Source organism: Homo sapiens, chromosome 17 (assembly GCF_000001405.40).
Source record: "Homo sapiens chromosome 17, GRCh38.p14 Primary Assembly".
Classification (NCBI taxonomy): domain Eukaryota; kingdom Metazoa; phylum Chordata; class Mammalia; order Primates; family Hominidae; genus Homo; species Homo sapiens.
Window position 1 is genome coordinate 59,556,506 of NC_000017.11, and position 20,639 is coordinate 59,577,144.

Consider the following 20,639-nt stretch of genomic DNA (forward strand, 5'->3'; position numbering starts at 1 on the left):
GAAACCATTTTTTATCTTATATTTATAGTGGTGGTTACACAACCATATGCACTTGTCAAAACTGGTAAAACTCAAAAAACTGTAACCCTTTTCCAGGGTTTTCCTTTTCCAGAACACATTATGAAAAAGCACCCAGTTGTGCCGGGCGCGGTGGCTCATGCCTGTAATCCCAGCACTTTGGGAGGCCAATCACAAGATTAGGAGATCGAGACCATCCTGGCTAACATGGTGAAACCCCGTCTCTACTAAAAATACAAAAAATTAGCCGGGCGTGGCGGCGGGCGCCTGTAGTCCCAGCTACTCGGGAGGCTGAGGCAGGAGAATGGCGTGAACCCGGGAGGCGGAGCTTGCAGTGAGCAGAGATCGGGCCACTGCACTCCAGCCTGGGCGACAGAGCGAGACTCCGTCTCAAAAAAAAAAAAAAAAAAAAAGATAAAGAAAAAGAAAAAGCACCCAGTTGTAACTGCTGGAGTTTTTATTGTTTCAGAAAAGTTCAAGGGACCGGGCGCGGTGGCTCAGGCCTGTAATCCCAGCACTTTGGGAGGCCAAGGCGGGCAGATCACAAAGTCAAGAGATCGAGCCCATCCTGGCCAACATGGTGAAACCCCATCTCTACTAAAAATACAAAAGTTAGCTGGGCATGGTGGCGCGCGCCTGTAATCCCAGCCACTGAAGTGGCTGAGGCAGGAGAATCGCTTGAACCCGGGAGCTGAGATCGCCCCACCGCACTCCAGCCTGGGCGACAGAGGGAGACTCCATCTCCAAAAAAAAAAAAAAAAAAAAAAAGTTCAAGGAAGAAACCCAGCCACAGCAAAACAAAAACCAGTTGGATCCAGAGATGCCTGAGTTGGAGATGAACTTTGGAGATTTCTCCTCATTAGCATACTAAAAATCCACCCAGGAAGGAGCTATTCTCCATTTGTATGTAGAGGCGTGATCGCAGACTGGGCCTGAGCTGGCTCTACTCCACCTCTACATATGATAACTCAGCTAACCTGCCTAATAAAAGCCTTTTTATCACCTTTGTTTAGGGAGACACTGCTTTGGGGATTTATCCCCGATATCCTCCTTACTTATTGTAAGTAATAAAATCCCCTTGTTAAATCTTCCTTGGTTGTGGTATTGGACTGTCACTGGCTAAGTGATCAAACCCACCCATTGTGTGGGTAACAAAACTATACACTAAAACTATAACATTTGGAAATTATGCCCCAATAACCTGACCGCCCCCTCAAAAGCCTTCTCACAATGCTTTTCACAGATTTTTTTTTTTTGAGATGGAGTCTCGCACTTTCGCCCGGCTGGAGTGCAGTGCTGAGATCTTGGGGCTTTGCAACCTCTGCCTCTGGGGTTCAAGCGATTCTCATGCTTCAGCCTCCTGAATAGCGGGGATTACAGGCGCGCGACACATGCACAGCTAATTTTTGCATTTTTTTAGTAAAGACGGGGTTTCACCATATTGGTCAGGCTGGTTTGGAACTCCTGACCTCAGATGATCTACCTGCCTCAGCCTCCCAAAGTGGTGCTGGGATTATAGGTGCCAACCACCGCTGCTGGTCTTTCCTCAGATTTTAATGGTAATACTTGACAGAGCAGGAACATTGCCATCTTGGACAAGCACTGCTATTCTAAAGTTCCCCTTGATCAAAAACTGCCTAATCCAAAAGGCATCAGCCTAATGGCTAAGGTCAGCATGACCATAAACCGCAAATGACATCTCTGACCGGAAACCTTCCAACCATAAGATAAACCCCTCCCCGACTGGAGAGATGTCAGCCCCAAGATAACCTTCCCTCCAACCAGAGACATTCCAACCCCGCAATAAACTTCTCCCCGACACAGAAATATTACAAGCCTGTGATAAATTCTCTTGCCCTGAACTCTTAAATAATCTTAGTCTGTAAGAGAGGGCCCCTGACTGAAATCGGCCAAAAGCCCCTCTCAGGCTTATTCTCTAAAATAAACCTGTCTTTGACTGTTGAGCCGCTTTTAATGTTTCTTTCCTCTTTCTTTAATTCTTACAATACTTAAATATGTAAGCTCCTTTTTTTTCCTATGAAAAAATTGTATCATAACTGAGAAATCAATAAGGACAATAAAAATTAAGATATTAAAATAAGGCCAGGTGTGGTGGCTCACACCTGTAATCCCAGCACTTTGGGAGGCTGAGGCAGGTAGATCACTTGAGGTCAAGAGTTCCAGACCAACCTGGACAACATGACAAAACCCTGTCTCCACAAAAAATACAAAAATTAGCCGGGCCTGTTGGTGTACGCCTGTAGTCCCAGCTACTGGGGAGGCTGAGGCAGAAGAATTGCTTGAACCTGGGAGGTGGAGGTTGCAATTAGCCGAGATCTCACCACTGCATTCCAGCCTGGGTGACAGAGTGAGACTCCATCTCAAAAATAAATAAATAAATAAATAAATAAATATAAATAAAATGGAAAGAATTTGCAATACAAAATCTATGTGCCTTAAGGTAAGTCCTACTAAAGACATGCAGTAAATGTTTATTTATGTTTCAATCTGTTTCACTTTTTGATTTTATGAGTTAAATGTCAATGAAAAATTTTTTTCAGAGAAATAGTACTGTTTCATTTTTCTTTTAAATAATGTTGATCTGAAATTTCTCAAGTAAACCCAGCTTGCCACCTTCAGGTCACTGAAAGATTTACAGAGACTATAGTCAGAACACTAATACTGCATCTTTCTCAATAATCCATAATTAATAATATCTTGATCACTCTATTGTGCCTTTGTCAAATGCACTCTATCTAGAATCTTTCCCTAGCATTTACTGGAATCTTCCCAACTTTCAAAGCTCAGTTCAAATGTCACTAACTCCTAGAAGCCTTCACTGATCACTCTAGCTAGTTTTTCCTCCTCTAAATATTTTATTTCCTTGATTACTTGTAATCTCACTGAAGGTAATAACCATGTCCTACACATATTTTATGCCTCTGCGTGGCTATTAAAAAAGGTGCATATAAGAATTGTGCATTCTAGCTGGACGCGGTGGCTCATGCCTGTAATCCCAGCACTTTGGGAGGCGGAGGCAGGCGGATCACCTGAGGTCAGGAGTTTGAGACCAGCATGGCCAACATGGTGAAACCCCGTCTCTACTCAAAATAAAAAAATTAGCCAGGTGTGGTGGCAAGCGCCTGTAATCCCAGCTACTCAGGAGGTTGAGGCAGGAGAATTGCTTGAACCCGGGAGGCGGAGATTGCAGTGAGCTGAGATCATGCCATTGCACTCCAGCCTGGGTAACAAAGTGAGACTTTGTCTCAAAAAAAAAAAAAAAAAAAAAAAGAATTGTGCATTATAATATTTACTGAATGAACACATGAATGAATAAATAGGAAGCTAGAGTAAACATTGAGCTTTCACTTGGAAGAGGTCCCATTTTACTAGTAAATTAACGGGAATTCTACACATTTATTAAAGACTATATGCATACATATAAAAGCACAATTTTCATTGACAACTAGCAGTGTCTCAATCTCTATTAAGCTCTCAAACAATATTGTTGATGAATGATTTAATGACTATTTGGTGACTGGCTTTGTGATAACTACTCAAATCTTAATATCTAGACATTTAAAGAGAAGAAAGTGTGATGATATCTTTTACTTTTTTTTTTTTTTTGAGACAGTCTCACTCTGTCACCCAGGCTGGAGTGCAGTGGCATGATCTCAGCTCACTGCAACCTCTGCCTCCTGGGTTCAAGTGATTATCATGCCTCAGCCTCCTGAGTAAGCTGGGATCACCGGCGAGCGCCGCCACGGCTGGCTAACTTTTGTATTTTTTTGTAGAGATGGGGTTTTACCATGTCGGTCAGGCTTGTCTTGAACTCCTGGCCTCAGGCGATCTGCCCGCCTCGGCCTCCTAAAGTGCTGGGATTACAGGTGTGAGCCATAGCACCTGGCTGCTATTTTTTACTTTTGGACTGAACGTGAGATATTTCTCTTGTTTTGTGATATGGCCATACCATCTAATTATTTTCCTCTAAACCCCCAAGTTGCTAATATACTATAAGCTTATTAATAAAATATGTAACCGTGGCATGTAGTCCACCAATACATGACTCAGAAAAATTCCCAAATTTTTTGTCTAGTTCCATTTAGTTTAGGGCATGAGGTTTTCTTTCATGTTTACATTCTCTCTAGAATGAAGTTCCCCTCTCTCTCTTTCAAGGTCTACATGTATCCAGGACTACTAGATGAAAAACTGGTCATAGATGTTTGTTTCTGGTTTTTTAATGGAGAAGGGAATGGTCCACACTTGAGAATGGTTTATCTCCTTGAATTCCTTCCATTAGAATTTTCTTTCTTTCTTTTTTCTTTCTTTCCTTTTTTCTGAAACAGGGTCTCACTCTGTCACCCAGGCTGGTGTGCAGTGGCACCATCACAGCTCACACTGCAGTCTTGTCCTCCTGGGCTCAAGTGATCCCCCTGCCTCAGCCTCCCAAGTAGCTGGGAATACAGGCATGCACCTCCATGCCTGGCTAATTTTTGTATTTTTTGTAGAGATGAGTCTTGAGATGGGGTCTCACTATGTTGCGCAGGCTGGTCTCAAACTCCTGGTGTCAAGTAATCCTTCTGCCTTGGCCTCCCATCGTGTTGGGATTACAGGCATGAACCACCACATCTGGCCCCATTAGAACTTTCTAACAAAAGATGATCTTTCTCCTGCCCCCTAGAGGGCTGTTTATCCCTTCTGTCAGTCCTTCCTTTCTCATTATATCCTCTCCACTCTCTGCCCTCTGCCTAGGCCCAGCCTTATCCATCTGAGAGAGGAAGTAACCAGTAATTTGAGCATGCACAGAAGGCTCTGATTTGGGACCTCATGTCAGCAGTGTCTTTGGATTTTTGTTTCTGCTTTGTTGAGGGCTGAACAGGAAGATAGGCCCATGGGTTACCAGTGAGATAGAAAAAGGGGAGGAAAATACAGAGAAACAATCGGATTCACATTTTGGGATACAAATCCACCACAAATGCAAGTTTATAATACCTATGTGGGCTAAAAGTTTGTTCTCTCTCCTCCAGTCCTTTATCTTTCCTCAAAATGTGAACTTGGTATTTCTCCCTCATCAGTATCAGTTTCAACTCTCCTAAACAAATCTTCTAATTGTACCCCAATACTTTCATTGACCAAGTCTTCTCTTAATCACCACATACACACTGTAGTAGCGGCATCTTTTTCCAGCTATTCTTTTCTCTCCCTTTCATTTACCCTAGTTGATTCTAACCAGCCATCCCCAAGTGTATTAGGTACATTTTCAGTTTGCTCGCGAATTCTCATTTACTCACAATATGGCTTCTGTCTGCTTCCCTTTACCAAGACAAGTCTTGTTTTGGTCCAATTAATGAGCTTTTAAAAAATCCATGTAGCTTGATACCATTGCTCACTCCTTCTGTGAACAATTAGGTTCTGTTATTAATTAGGTTTGTACATATCACCATTTTTCTAGCATTTTAAACTTTCTGGTTCTGACTGTAATAATATCTTTGATAATTTTCCTTTTTTTTTTTTTTTGCTTTATTTACTCCTTTTAACCATCACAACAGTGGTCCTATACTTTTCTTTCTTTCCTGAAGATGATTTTAAAATTCCATTCCATTTTTGTAAATCTGTAATGTTGAGTCTCTTTTGGATGCTCTGAAACAGGTTGCTTGGATTGTGGAATATTTTGAAAGACTGCTTATGAGGCAATAGCAGCAGGGTGCAATTCAGACTTCTCACACTTCTTTAAATACCAGTTCTTTCAGGAGTTTTTTTTTTTTTTTGAGACAGAGTCTCACTCTGTTGTCCAGGCTGGAGTGCAGTGGTGAGATCTTGGCTCACTGCAACCACCACCTCCCGGGTTCAAGAGATTCTCCTCCATCAGCCTCCTAAGTAGCCGGGATTACAGGTGGCTACTACCACCCTAGGCTAATTTTTTGTATTTTTAGTAGAGATGGGGTTTCACCATGTTGGCCAGGCTGGTCTCAAACTCTCAACCTCAGGTGATCTGGCCACCTCAGTCTCCCAAAGTCCTGGGATTACAGGCCTGGTCTCAGGTTTTTAATGTAACCCAAAGATAAGAAATAGATTCAATGTCGTTAGGGACACTGACCTTTCTTCCCAGATTCAACCCATTTATTTTCTATTTTTACTCTGTACTTGAGTTTTGTTTGTCATTGTAATTTGTAAACTCACTGGGTAGGAAATAATTGTTGATCTTCTAATTTAGAATAGCCCCAAGCACATGGTTATCATGGTAACATGCTTTAAATGTCCTTGGTTATAAAATGAACAATGTTAAACATCACTTGAATTTTTCACTTTTATTTTTCTTCATTCTTTGCTTGCAGGTTTTATATTCTATACTCTCAATAGGTGGTTCTCATACAAGAATGGGGTCAGTTCTATTAGAGTTACAAACATTGGAAGAAAATACATTATTTTGGTACCAAAATCTAAATACTTCCATCTCCCAATGCAGTTTAGTGGTTATTAGTGTGACTTTGAATCTTGGCCCTCTTAGTTCTTTGTTTTGTCACCACAGGCAAGTTTCTAACACAAAAATTAGGGATAGTAATAACCTAACTGTATGAGTTTTTGTGAAAAATAGAGGAAATAATTTACAGTTGAAACCTGAACAAGGTGGGGTTAGGAGCACGAGCCTTTTGCACTGTAAAAATCTGCATATAACTCTTTTCTTTTTTTTTCTTGGAGACAGAGTCTCGCTGTCACCCAGGCTGGAGTGCAGTGGCGCGATCTTGGCTCACCCCAACTTCCGCCTCCCAGGTTCAAGTGGTTCTTCTGCCTCAGCCTCCCGAATAGCTAGGACTACAGGCACGCACCACCACACCCAGCTAATTTTTTTGTATTTTTAGGAGAGATGGGGTTTTGCCATGTTGCCCAGGCTGGTCTTGAACTCCTGAACTCAGGCAATCTGCCCACCTTGGCCTCCCAAAGTGCTAGGATTACAGGTGTGAGCCACTGCATTGGGCCAAAATCTGTATTACTTGACTCCCCAGAGCTTAACTGTTAATACCAACTATTGCCTGGAAGCCTTACCAATAACATAAACAGTTAATTAATACGTATTTTGTATATGTATTATATACTGTATTCTTAAAGCAAGCTAGAGAAAATAAAACATTAAGAAAATCATAAGAGAAAATATATTTACTATTCATTAAGTTTAAGTGGATCATCATAAAGGTTTCCATCCTGTTCAGTAGGCTGAAGAGAAGGAGGAGGAAGACAAAGGGTTGATCTTGCTATCTCCAGCTTAGCAGGTGCAGAAGAAAAAATCTGCCTACAAGTGGACCTGCGAAGTTCAAACCAGTATTGTTCAAGGGTCAACTGTATCAGAAAGATTTGACTACTATGAGCTAAGTGGTAATCATCATTGGTCTGAAATGATGATTTTTAGAAAGTGACTTTATTATATCACTGATAGAGATGCCCTATACTGAAATACTGAGATTACCAATACCTTGCCTGTACCACAAATGTATTTTTGCCATTTTGCTTTCTGTTTCTATAATATTTTGAATTCCTAACATGATCCAGAAGGCTGGGAGATGCTCCTAATGAAAGAGAGAAACCTGGAATGTTCTCCTATTTACCAGATTGCTTCCTCTCATACCCAGGTTTTGAGATATAAAGTTGTTACAAAGTTCCAACTTATTTGGTATCATTCAAAATCTGATGAGCTTGCATTTTAAGAAGTGTTGATCAGTTCCATTTAAAAGCAGTTGGTATGAGTTCACTTTATTTTTTGAGGTGGAATCTCGCTCTGTTGCCCAGGCTGGAGTGCAGTGGCATGATCTTGGCTCACTGCAACCCCTGCCTCCTAGGTTCAAGCGATTCTCCTGCCTCAGCCTCCCGAGTAGCTGGGATTATAGGCGCGTGCTACCACACCCGGCTAATTTTTTTTATTTTTTTATTTTTAATAGAGACGGGGTTTCACCATATTGGCCAGGCCGGTCTCGAACTCCTGATCTCAAGTGATTCATCTGTCCTGGCCCCCCAAGGTGCTGGCATTACAGGCATGAGCCACCATGCATGGCCATGACTTCACTTCAAATGAGCACAGAAAAATCTGGGGGCCCAACAACCTTATGGTACATCTTTTGAAGCCTGGTCAGACAAGAGGGTCTTTAGGTGATGGTGAAGTGACAGTTTTGAGTTGTCTTCTTTGGTAGTAAGTGTTGGCTAATTCTAACAGCAGGAACAATTGAGGAGTCCAACAAACAATCTTGTTCACATTGCAATGATTTTGTTACAGTTGACACTAATTTAAAAATTGGCAGGCTCTAGACCAGAAAGACCTGCCCCCAAAGTACCTTTTCTGAAAAAGTTGCCCTGCCTCAGATGCTGTGTATCTGTTGAACTTTTCAGCTACTGTGGTTTCCAAGGAATGCACCTCTATCAAAAATGAGCTTAATTCCTAAGGAAGTCAATTATTATTCCTCCATTCCAGCAAAGTCAACAAATATTGACAGCCCACCTTGAATCACTGTGCTGGGCCCTGGATGTAGCAGTGTTTTAATATTTCGACTCTTGTGGGGGGGGGCTTTACAATCTAGCTGGGCAGAAGAGGAAACATGCAAATAAATTAAAATGCAGGGTCCTATGAGGGAAATGAACAGCCTTGGTGACCTAAGTTTTGATAATAACATAACTAAAAGTTCGGCTCCACAACTCAGTAGCTGTGTGCCTTGGACAGGTCATATCAGATTAGGAAAGGTGAGAATGAGTTGAGGAACGCAGCACTCTGGGATCATGGTTCCAGCTCCGGGCAGAGGGTTACATCGTGTCAAGTGTGTGAAGGCAGAATAGCCTGCAGAGACCACTGTGGCGTTGAAAAGAGGTGTCGTCGCGACCTTCGGCGCCGGAGAGGCGAAACAAGAGGGGGTCTTCGGGCCCTCAGGTATGGCTCAGCCGCCCAAGGCGAAGCGCACGTGGCAGTTGGCGGGAAATCCCTGGGGGGTGGAGCCTCGGCTCGAGGTCCGGCCGCCCCGTACCACGTCATCGAGCAGCTCCCCCTCCCCTTGCTACAAGTCGCACGCGCGGAAGTAAACACCTCTACGTCATCAGGGCGCGTCCTCGTCTTTCCCCTCCCATCTCCTCAGATCGGTGGACGTGCTCGCCTCCACTCGGGGCCAGGTCTATGTCCCGGTTTCCCGCAGTCGCGGGCAGGGCGCCAAGGCGGCAGGAGGAGGGTGAGCGGTCAAGAGACCTCCAGGAAGAGCGGCTCTCGGCTGTTTGCATCGCCGATAGAGGTGCGGTCCGCGGGACGGTACGGAAGCCAGCGGGAGTTACGGCGTGGGGGTTTTGGTGGGGGGATGAAAGTACGCCTTTGGCAGGCTGAGAAGAGTAGTGAGGAAGCCGTGGCGTTCTCCTGGCTTTCCAAGCCCGAGGCGAACTTTGCGTCCAATGAGCACTTTGCCTTAGAGGGGGGCGGTCCCAGATTCAAGTTAGGCGAAAACCTTACTGGGGGGCGAAAAAGTGAACCCCAACGCCCGAAATGCATTCTGTTCTTAAACAGGCTCATAGACCCTTTGTTCTCTACCCATTCATCCCCCCCACCCTTCGTCGGGCCGCCAGCCTGCCTTTGGGTACAGTATGAAGGGAGCCAGTTTCCAGGAGCCAGTTTCCATGGTTACCCACCACTTGGCCTTCTGGGATATCAGTCGCTCTGAACAGGGACCTAACTTGAACCATGAATCAGAAGCAAACACAGGTGGCTTCTAATCCAGCTGAGAATTTTCTGCTGTGTTCCAGTTTTTGGTCTATTGTTAAATAAAATTGAGTTTTGTGCTTCTGTGTAAGTATGCATGTGTATACGTTGCCTTGAGCTATACTTGCTTTGAAAAGTACTTTGAGTTATGCGTGAACAAATGCTCAAGTTGCTGGATTTCACCAAAAAGTTGTTCTGGGCTCATTAACCCTCACTTACAAATTGCGCTCATTAACGCTCACTTACATGAGCGATTTAACTGAGAAGTCATGGATGATCCCGTCCAGCCCTAAAATTCTATTGCCTTTCTGGTTTTAGTCATGAGAAATTGAGTCAGAGATATCTTTACAAGTCTTTTAATTGACTTGTTTTTCTGTTATTACAGAAGAGAAAGGATGCACGTCCCAGGAGGGAGGAACTACTCCAACTTTTCCTATTCAGAAACAAAGAAAAAAGATTATTCAAGCTGTGAGGGACAATTCATTCCTTATTGTTACTGGAAATACAGGAAGTGGTAAAACAACTCAACTCCCAAAATATCTATATGAAGCAGGTGATTTTTTTCTGTTGTAATAATTGGAAATATTTTAAAAATATCCTCTTTTTAAAGGCCAGTAGGACTTCTGTACTCCATGATTGCCCAGTATTTGCTTTATAGTCCCGCTTCTCTTGGCACACCCCCTTCCCCTATGTCTCCTTTGCTTCTTTATGGTCTATTTCAGGTTCAAGAATTAGTTGGGATGGCAAATTTTCCCATTTTTAATTACCATAATAATCTCAAATAGAATTACATCTAGATATTCCATTTTATAGAATAAAGTTGTCTAGCAGTAGACTATTAACCATTGGATACTGAAATAATTTTGAGGGGTAAGAGATATGTGATATCTGTTGCTGCCATTAGTACTTCTTGGTTCTTTCTCTAGAGCATTATCAGGTAAATATTTATCCCCTGACTTTGCCAGCGCAAGCCAACTAACAAATTACCTTTAAAATACGTTAAGTAAAGTTAATAGGAGGCCTTTGGTTTGGACTGATCCCCCGCACTAGACCCAACAGACCAAACCAAAATGGAGTTACTCATACTGAAGTTCCACGCCACCAAGTCTAGAAACTAAATTTTTCATCTACTGAGAAATCAGGAGAAAGAGATAATAGCCAAATCCCCAAACAGACCAGTTTTAGGAGCATCAAGAAGTTTCCTCTGCTTTAACTTTGACAAGAAAAGTAACTTTGAAATGAGCAATCTGCTTTTTGTTTTCTGTTTCTGCTTTCCTCAGCCCTTTTCTGTCTATACAATCAGCCTCCTCTGCTCAGCTCATTGGAACACTGATTCTATTTTATGAGACGATGGGTTGATGTGATTCCAGAGTTAGAATCACAAAAGCCAATTAAAAAGTTTTGGCTGGGCACAGTGGCTCACGCCTGTAATCCCAGCACTTTGGGAGCCCGAGGTGGGCGGATCATGAGGTCAGGAGATCGGGACCATCATGGCTAACACAGTGAAACCCTGTCTCTACTAAAAATAGAAAAAAAAAAAATTCGCCGGGCGTGGTGGTGGGCGCTTGTAGTCCCAGCTACTCGGGAGGCTGAGGCAGGAGAATGGCATGAATCTGGGAGGCGGAGCTTGCAGTGAGCCGAGATCGTGCCACTGTACTCCAGCCTGGGAGACAGAGTGAGACTCCGTCTCCAAAAAAAAAAAAATTTTTTAGGCCGGGCGCAGTGGCTCAAGCCTGTAATCCCAGCACTTTGGGAGGCCAGGGCAGGTGGATCATGAGGTCAGCAGTTCGAGACCAGCCTGGCCAACATGGTGAAACCCGTCTATACTAAAAATACAAAAATTAGGCGTGGTGGCGGGCGCCTATAATCCCAGCTACTTGGGAGGCTGAGGCGGGAGAATCACTTGAACCCAGGAGGCAGAGGTTGCAGTGAGCTGAGACCGTGCTGTTGCACTCCAGTCTGGGCAACAGAGTGAGACTCTGTGTCAAAAAAAATAAATAAAAATAAAATAAATTTGTTGTAATTTTGTTTTTTGACAAGTGTCATTCAGTATGACAGAACTTTCTGTCATAAGGTTTGTAAAGAGCAGTATTATATTGGATATGATTTGCCTTAAAAAATAACAAATGTATTATTCTAATGCTTCAATCTAAGGTGCCATCTATTAAGATATATCACTATTTTATGTGCAGTAATCCCTTCTTATCCTTGGGAGATGCCTTCTAAGACCACTCAATGCCTGAAACTGCCAATAATACCAAACCCTGCATATACTATGTGTTTTCCTATACATACATACATACTTTTGATAAAGTTTAGTTTATAAATTAGGCATAGTAAGAAATTAACAACAACAACAATAAAATAGAGCAGTTATGACAATATACTGTAGTAAAACTTTTGTAAATGTGGTCTCTCTCTGTCTCTCAAAGTACTGTAACATTTTTGGACCTCCACTGACTGTAGGTAACTGAAAAATTGGAAAGCAAAACCAAAGGTAAAGAGGGACTACTGTATTAGTAAGAATGGAAATGCGCCATCGATTTTAAGATGCAGCTCCATTCCCAAATATATTAAAATGGTATATGGAAGGTGCATATATATATATATATAAATATAGATATATATATTTATTTATTTTTTTGAGATGAGATCTTACTATGTCGCCCAGGCTGATCTCAAACTCCTGAGTTCAAGCAATCCTCCTACCTCAACCTTCTGAGTAGCCAGGCTCCTGAGTAGCTGGGATTACAGGTGTGTACCACTGCTCCCAGCAGAAAGGTGGCATATTTAAGTCCAGTTTTAGGCTGGGTGCAGTGGCTCATGCCTGTGATCCCAGCACATTGGGAGGCTGAGGCAGATGGATCACTTGAGGTCAGAAGTTTGCGACCAGCCTGGCCAACATGGTGAAACCCCATCTCTACTAAAAATACAAAATTAGCTGGGTGTGGTGGCGCGCACCTGTAATCCCAGTTACTCAGGCGGCTGAGGCAGGAGAATTGCTTGAACCCAGGAGGTAGAGGTTGCAGTGAGCCGAGATTGTGCCACTGCACTCCCGCCTGGGCAACAGAGCAAGACTCTATCTCAAAAATAAATAAATAAATAAATAAATAAATAAATAAATAAATCCAGTTTTACTCTTGTGGCAAAAGTAAATTTATTTTGGGAAGTGTGTGGAATTTTATGAATTCTTATGTTTCAAAATTCTTGGCTTACCTTTAGAGTAGATTTTTAGACAGAAAAAAACAGACAAAGCCTGAATTCTAATTTAAAAAATATATTTTTTACAAAAAAATTAGCTGGGCCTGGTGGCAAGCGCCTGTAATCCCAGCTGCTCAGGTGGCTGAGGCAGGAGAATCGCTTGAACCCAGGAAGTGAAAGTTGCAGTGAGCCGAGATCGCGCCACTGCATTCCAGCCTGGGCAACAGAGCAATACTCCGTCTCAAAAAAGAAAAAAATATATATATATCTATATATATATATAGATATATATATAATTTTTTCTTTCTTTTTTTTTGTTTTGGCTGGGCGTGGTGTCTCAAGCCTATAATCCCAGTACTTTGGGAGGCAGAGGCAAGTGGATCACCTGAGGTTGGGAGTACAAGACCAGCCTGACCAACAGGGAAAAAACCCGTCTCTGCTAAAATACAAAATTAGCCCGGCATGGTGGCACATGCCTGTTATCCCAGCTACTCGGGAGGCTGAGGCAGGAGAGTTGCTTGAACCTGGGACGCAGAGGTTGCGGTGAGCCGAGATTGCGCCATTGCACTACAGCCTAGGCAACAAGAGCAAAACTCTGTCTAAATATATATAATATACATTATATTATAATGTATATTTATATATAATATATAGTATATATTATAATATATTATAATGTATATTTATATATAATATATTATAAATTATATAATACATATAATATGTTATATATTAATATATATAATATATAATATATTATAATATATATTATATATTAAATATATATTAGTATATAATATATATAATATATAAATATATATAATATAAACTGGATTTATATTATATATATTTATATATTATATATATAATATATTTTTGCATGGTTATTAATATGTATTATTTTAAATTAATATTTAAATTTCCATGATGCAAACATAGCAGTGTGTTTTTAATTTGCGAGATATTCTTTTGGAAACATTCAAGCAGTTTTGTGTTGATTGGCCAAAAACAATTTAGCTCTAATAGGAAGACAATTGCTAACATTGTTGTGTTTCTTTATCTCTGGTTTTGATAGGGTTTTCACAACATGGTATGATTGGTGTAACTCAACCACGAAAAGTAGCTGCTATATCAGTTGCTCAGAGAGTAGCTGAAGAAATGAAATGCACTTTGGGATCCAAAGTAGGATACCAAGTTCGTTTTGATGATTGCAGTTCTAAGGTACAAAAGTCTTGTTGGTATTTGTTTCTTTTCTTTTATGGGACAGGGTCTTGCTCTGTCGCCCAGCCTGGAGTGCGTGGCGCAATCATGGCTCTCTGTAGCCTCTACCTTCTGGGCTCAAGTGATCTCCTACCTCAGCCCCTTGGGTAGCTGGGACTACAGGAGCATGCCACCATGCCCAGCTAATGTTATAAACTTAACAGAAAGAGTGGAGAGAGTTCTGAAAGATTTTTAACTTCAAAGTTCAATATATATTTTAAAGAATTTATTTTTGTTGTTCATTGTTAATGCTTTAGCTCTCAAGTGTCTGATGTTCATCCCATTTTCTCCTTCCTTAGTTTATAAATGACAGTTTATTTTCTTAGGATTCTCTTATTTATGTTTTTTAACTGTAAGGATTCTTGACATGTAGGTTTTTAAAATGTTTTATTGTAGTAAAATATATATAACTTAAAATCGACCATTTTACTATTTTGGTATACAATTCAGTGCCATTAAGTATGTTCACAATGGGCTGGGCTCGATGGCTCACGTCTGTAATCCCATCACTTTGGGAGGCCGAGGCGGGTGGATCACCTGAGGTCAGGAGTTCGAGACCAGCCTGACCAACATGGAGAAACCCTGTCTCTTTTAAAAATACAAAATTAGCTGGGCACGGTGGTGCATGCCTGTAATCCCAGCTACTCAGGAGGCTGAGGCAGGAAAATGGCTTGAACCCGGGAGGCGGAGGTTGCGGTGAGCTGAGATCGCGCCACTGCACTCCAGCCTGGGCAACAAGAGCAAAACTCCACCTCAAAAAAAAAAAAAAAATGTGTTCACAATGTTGGGTAACCATCACCATTTCTACTTTCAGAACTTTTTTTATCATCCCAAACAGAAACTCTTATAGATTAAAACCCCCATTTCTCCCTCCCCCTAGCCTCTGGTAACTTCTTTTTTTTTTTTGAGACGAAGTCTCACACCATTGCCCGGGCTGGAGTGCAGTGGCGCAACCTCCACTCCCTGCAACCTCTGCCTCCCAGGTTCTAGTGATTCTCCTGCCTCAGCCTCCCAAGTAGCTGGGTTTACAGGCTCCTGCCACCACGCCCAGCTAATTTTTTGTATTTTTAGTAGAGATGGGGTTGGTCTCAAATTCCTGACCTTGTGATCTGCCCACCTCGGCCTCCCAAAGTGCTGGGATTACAGGGTAAACCACCGCGCCCTGCTGTATCTTCTGTTCTACTTTCTGTCTCTACAAATTTGCCTACTCCGGGTACCTCATTCAAGTGGAATCACACAATATTTTGTACTTCGTGTCACTCTTATTTCACTGAGCATGTTTTCAGGTTGATTTATTTTATGTGTTTGTATTCTTGAAGTCAATGGAAAGCTGAATTAACAAAATCAGCCAATTAACAAAATCAGCAAGTGTTAAAGCATCTTCTATATTCATGGCACCAACAAATTTAAAATTTTCTTTTTAATAGTGAATATTATAATTTACATTCCCTGTGGATTTCTTAATCCTGTCCAGCTACAAAACGATCCCTGGTTTACATATGTTCCCTAATGGGAATGGCCATCAAATGTGGCACAAGATGACTCCCCAAAATACTATCTTTTTGCCTTCCTAGTGGTCACTGTTTTTTCTTTCTTCTTTCCCTTGTTTTATGGATGTCGTTGCTGTTATTCCTACCCTTTGGACCTTTTTCTCACCCTGTTTTAATGCTTGTTGAGTAACACATTTTTATTTGGAGATAGTGTCTTACTAAGTCACCCAGGCTGGAGTGCAATGGCGTGATCTCAGCTCACTGCAATCTCCGCCTCTCAGGCTCAAGCAGTCCTCCCGTCTCAGCCTCCCAAGTAGCTGGGACTACAGGCGTGACCCACCACACCTGGCTAATTTTTATATGTTTATTAGAGATGTGGTTTTGCTATGTTGTCCAGGCTGGTCTCGAACTCCTGGACTCAAGTGATCCGCCCACCTCAGCAACCCAAAGTGCTGGGATTACAGGCGTGAGCTACCGTGTCTGACCTAAGTAACACATTTTTTAATAGAGAAGAGGAGAGAGTGGGTGGAAAGTATGCACCTACCATTTTCTCATTTCCCCCGAATCCTCTAAAATAGGGGCTGAGTCAGAAAGATAAATCTCATTTCACTGTTGTTTCCCACAACTTGCTTACCCAATGCCATTGCATCATCTTGCCACTTTCCTCTGACTTTATTGTATTTCCTTATTGGTGATTTTTGTTGCTTTGTCCAAGAATACCCAAGTGAGTTATTTGTCCCTTTTTCTGTATAGACAGCATGTTTTGTAACTTACCATCATTTTGTATACATAAGTTAGACTATTTTTATGTACCCTTTTGTTTAGTCAGAGTGGTTTGATCACTTAATGTTTGTACCTCTTGAGGAAAAATTTAGTTGGGAAAATAGTGGTGAATTCCTGTGACACTGCTGTTTGAACATTAGGAGACAGCAATCAAATATATGACTGATGGATGTTTACTGAAACATATTCTGGGAGACCCAAATCTTACCAAATTCAGTGTCATTATTTTGGATGAAGCCCATGAAAGAACTCTAACTACAGTGAGTATTTTAATTTATTATTATTTTTTTATTAGCAAGTAGTTTGTTTGGGTAGCTTTTTATTGTGTAGAGAATTGCCTCCTCTTACTTTTTAATTTAATTTAATTTTTTAGAGATGGAGTCTTGCTCCATCACCCAGGCTGGAGAGCAGTGGCACGATCATAGCTCACTGCACCCTTGAACTCCTGGGCTCAAGTGATCCTCCCATCTCAACCTCCTGAGTTGCTGGTACTGCAGACGTGCATCACCATGTCTGGCTAATTTTTAAGAATATTTTTTGTAGAGACAGTGTCTCGTTTTGTTTCCCTGGCAGGTCTCGACCTCCTGGCCTCCGACCTTGGCCTCCCAAAGTGCTGGGATTACAGGTGTGAGCCACTGCACCTGGCTCCTACTTATATTTTAATGTATTAAAATAGGAATTCCTTGGTTAGAATAGCAGTGTATCTAAAATAGTTTGGCTGTTAAGTGTACTTGTGACTTACTAGAAATTTACTTTTCTTTCAGGATATCTTATTTGGTTTATTGAAGAAGCTATTTCAGGAGAAGTCTCCTAATAGGAAGGAGCATTTAAAAGTGGTGGTAATGTCAGCAACTATGGAATTAGCCAAGCTCTCTGCATTCTTTGGAAATTGTCCAATATTTGATATACCTGGAAGGCTTTATCCAGTCAGAGAGAAATTCTGCAATTTGATTGGTCCACGAGACAGAGAAAATACTGCGTATATTCAAGCGGTATTACTTGGCATTCATTTAATGTCTTTTTTAAATATCTATGATTCTTACTAATTGGGTGGTTTGATAATTCATTTGTTCACTACTATTTTAATGACAGTCCTCACAGGTCCTAGAACTTTTAAGAACCAAATTTAATTTTTCTGTGGGGCAAGGGAAGTGGTGGTAAGGGAATGACTGTATTTCCACTAGCATATTATGCCTGCATTTCTTGCTTTAGATTGTGAAAGTCACCATGGATATCCATTTGAATGAAATGGCTGGAGACATCTTGGTTTTTCTGACTGGTGAGCATTCAGTATCAAGTTAAAAAACTTAAGTATTTGTAAGTAAGGAATGTGGCACCCAGATAGAGTGCTACCTCTGTTGGGAATTCTGTGCCCTTCTCAAGTGTTGCCCTAGCTTTTTCTGATTATCTGAATAATTTTAGGTAAAAGATAGATAAAAATTGTAAGCTAGCTGCCAAAGAGGATTATATATATTTATGTCAAAGACATATGTTTATGTCAAAGACATAATAGTATGTATATATATTTTATGTCAAAGACATAGTAGTATATGTCAAAGACGTAATAGTGTATATGTATATATACACACACATATATGTCAAATGTCAAAGACATCAGGCTCATTAGTAAATATATGTAAAACACACTGACCTTTTAATAGAAAGAAATTAAATAGTGAAATATTGTTTTTGTTGGTCTGTCTTAGATAGAAATGTAACCTGACTAAACAGACCTGAGTTAATTCCATTATTTCAAAGGACATTTCACCAGGTTCTTCTTTGGGTGGTGGCATTGTACTGTGTGATAACAACACATAAGGTGTAGAATCTATGTGTCGTAGACAAGCATGTGGCATTTTTGGAGATCAAAAATAAAATAGTTAAATCCCAAACTAGTGGCATAACTTTTCAAATAGCAGCACCCTCCTAATAGGAATTAGTAGTTTCCTTGTTTACCTTTTTCCTCTGCCTTGTACTAATGTCAGAAGTGAGGGATTGTCACAATCTTTGCCTTTTTGGAGATTACTTAAGTATTTTGAAATTTAACCAAATGCAATAGCACCTGGACTAGCTTTTCTCCTTTGTTAACAATTTGGTGAGTCTTCTCAAATACAGGGTGAAAAGCTTGACGATGATAAATATTTTTATTCCTTTAGAGATTTAGGTTTCTTAGAAACTGATGTTTCTTCTACTTCGAATTTTATTGTTGAAATATGGTACAGCTTATGTGTTCATCTCCTTTACATTAAATGAGAGATTTACAATAACTTTTAGGCAAAATTAATTTTAATCTTGACATTTTCTTTATTTTTAAATTAATTTTTCTGTTCAGTTGCTGAAGTTATTTTTTTCTTCCCATTTTAGGCCAGTTTGAAATAGAAAAAAGTTGTGAGTTACTTTTTCAGATGGCAGAGTCTGTTGATTATGATTATGATGTTCAAGATACCACCCTCGATGGCTTGTTAATATTGCCGTGTTATGGATCAATGACAACAGGTAATTTCTCATTAGAATAGAAAATTTGATTTTTTAAAAAAACTTTTTATTGAATAATCGTGTTTACAGAAAAGCAGTCAGATCTTAAGTGCTTAGGTAAGTTTCACAAACCAGTCTCACCTTTGTAACCCACATCCAGATCATGAAACAAATCAGTGAGAACCAGCATTCCTTGACAGTAGTGATTTTTGCCTGAAGTCTTTTTACATTCACTTTTTTGAGAGTCGTGGATATCCCCCTTATTATCGTTTAGAGTATTGTTTCTCCCAGCAAAACAAAACTATTGGTGAGAATTCTTTGAAATGAGGACAGTAGTTTCTTGCTGGTATTACTGTAAGTCAAAACCTAATTTGCCATTGCCACAGAATTTTTAGAAATTGTGTATATCCAGCTATATCTAAGTCTAAACACAGTGGATTGTTTTGTTTTTTTTTTGTGATGGAGTCTCGTTCTTGTCATCCAGGCTGGAGTGCAGTGGCGCAATCTCAGCCCACTGCAACCGCCACCTCCTGGGTTCAAGCGATTCTCCTTCCTCAGCCTCCCAAGTAGCTGGGATTGCAGGCGCTCGCCACCACACCTGGCTAAGTTTTGTATTTTTTTTTTTTTTTTTTTAGCAGAGATGGGATTTTGCCATGTTGGCCAGGCTGGTTTCAAACTCCTGACCTCAGGTCATCTGCCTGCCTTGGCCTCCAGAATTGCTGGGATTACAGATGTGAGCCACCATGCCTGGCTGTGGATCATTTTCCTTTTAAAGTAGCCATGCCTTAGTCTGCTTTTCAAGAATGATCCTGTTCTTTGGTGAATTCCAAGAGCAAATGCAAACTCTTGATTTGACATTTTGGTTATAGTAAATATTGTTGAATGAGGTTTAGAATTTGTTTTATAAAACTTTTATTATGGAATTTAACTTGTAAAGTTAAAGGGAAATTAACCTTAGCCTCCTATTTGGAGTTGGAATTAGCATTTGAATGTTTTTATATTTTACATGTATGCGTATTAACAGCTTTTGTTGATTGGGTGATTCTTATCCCTATATTAACAAAGTTTTGGAATATATGTGTCAGTAAAGAACATAGATGTGCTATTTTGGAAATCTTTTTTATGATGATATTAGCTTCTTACTCTCTATTGAAGCATAGATATCTATTTTAGATTTTGTCATCTTCAGGGAAATTCTTAGGATCATTGTTTAAGGTTCTCATTGTTTTCTCAAGATTTGGTTCACCGATGCTTTTATAATTTACATTGAAACTGATAAAAACCCATTATGTTTGGTTTGTTATTAATCATTAACTAAATATGTACATAGACATATATTATTCTATACAGAGTAAATAATTTCATTCTTTTTTACTGCTACATTGAAAATAATGTTCTGGATTTTCTCTTGCCTCTGTTTTTTTTTTTTTGTTTTTTGAGATGGAGTCTCGCTCTGTCGCCCAGGCTGGAGTGCAGTGGCGCGATCTTGGCTCACTGCAACCTCTGCCTCCCAGATTCAAGCAATTCTCCTGCCTCAGCCTCCCGAGTAGCTGGGACTACAGGGGCGCGCCCCCACGCCCTGCTAATTTTTTGTATTTTTCTTAGAGACAGGGTCTCACCATGTTAGCCAGGATGGTCTCGATATCCTGACCTTGTGATCCTCCCGCCTCAGCCTCCCAAAGTGCTGGGATTAC

General features: G+C 40.7%; 1 protein-coding gene across 6 annotated transcripts in view, besides 3 other annotated features; it reads left to right on the forward strand.

Annotated features, from left to right (window-relative positions):
- Positions 8,786–9,328: an enhancer, noted in NCBI's record as "H3K27ac hESC enhancer chr17:57642652-57643194 (GRCh37/hg19 assembly coordinates)". NCBI's record gives its function as "activates a minimal SCP1, AML or CMV promoter by ChIP-STARR-seq in naive H9 embryonic stem cells {active_cell/tissue: H9 hESC(naive)}" and the evidence as "EXISTENCE:reporter gene assay evidence [ECO:0000049][PMID:30033119]".
- Positions 8,944–9,203: an enhancer, noted in NCBI's record as "active region_12509". NCBI's record gives its function as "activates an Ori minimal core promoter by ATAC-STARR-seq in GM12878 lymphoblastoid cells {active_cell/tissue: GM12878}" and the evidence as "EXISTENCE:reporter gene assay evidence [ECO:0000049][PMID:35858748]".
- Positions 9,105–20,639, forward strand: part of DHX40 (DEAH-box helicase 40) — a 42,736-nt gene continuing 31,201 nt past the window's right edge. For 3 of the 6 annotated variants that reach the window (NM_024612.5, XM_006722083.4, XM_011525253.4), the window contains exons 1-7: positions 9,105–9,278; positions 10,122–10,289; positions 14,013–14,158; positions 16,611–16,730; positions 17,235–17,462; positions 17,683–17,749; positions 18,835–18,966. In NM_024612.5, the coding sequence (NP_078888.4) occupies positions 9,167–9,278; positions 10,122–10,289; positions 14,013–14,158; positions 16,611–16,730; positions 17,235–17,462; positions 17,683–17,749; positions 18,835–18,966 (973 nt within the window). In that variant the 5' untranslated portion in view covers positions 9,105–9,166. The remainder of the gene's footprint in view (positions 9,279–10,121; positions 10,290–14,012; positions 14,159–16,610; positions 16,731–17,234; positions 17,463–17,682; positions 17,750–18,834; positions 18,967–20,639) is intronic. The other 3 variants (XM_017025080.3, XM_047436758.1, NM_001166301.2) reach the window with 2 other exon arrangements.
- Positions 9,614–9,743: a silencer, noted in NCBI's record as "silent region_8781". NCBI's record gives its function as "represses an Ori minimal core promoter by ATAC-STARR-seq in GM12878 lymphoblastoid cells {active_cell/tissue: GM12878}" and the evidence as "EXISTENCE:reporter gene assay evidence [ECO:0000049][PMID:35858748]".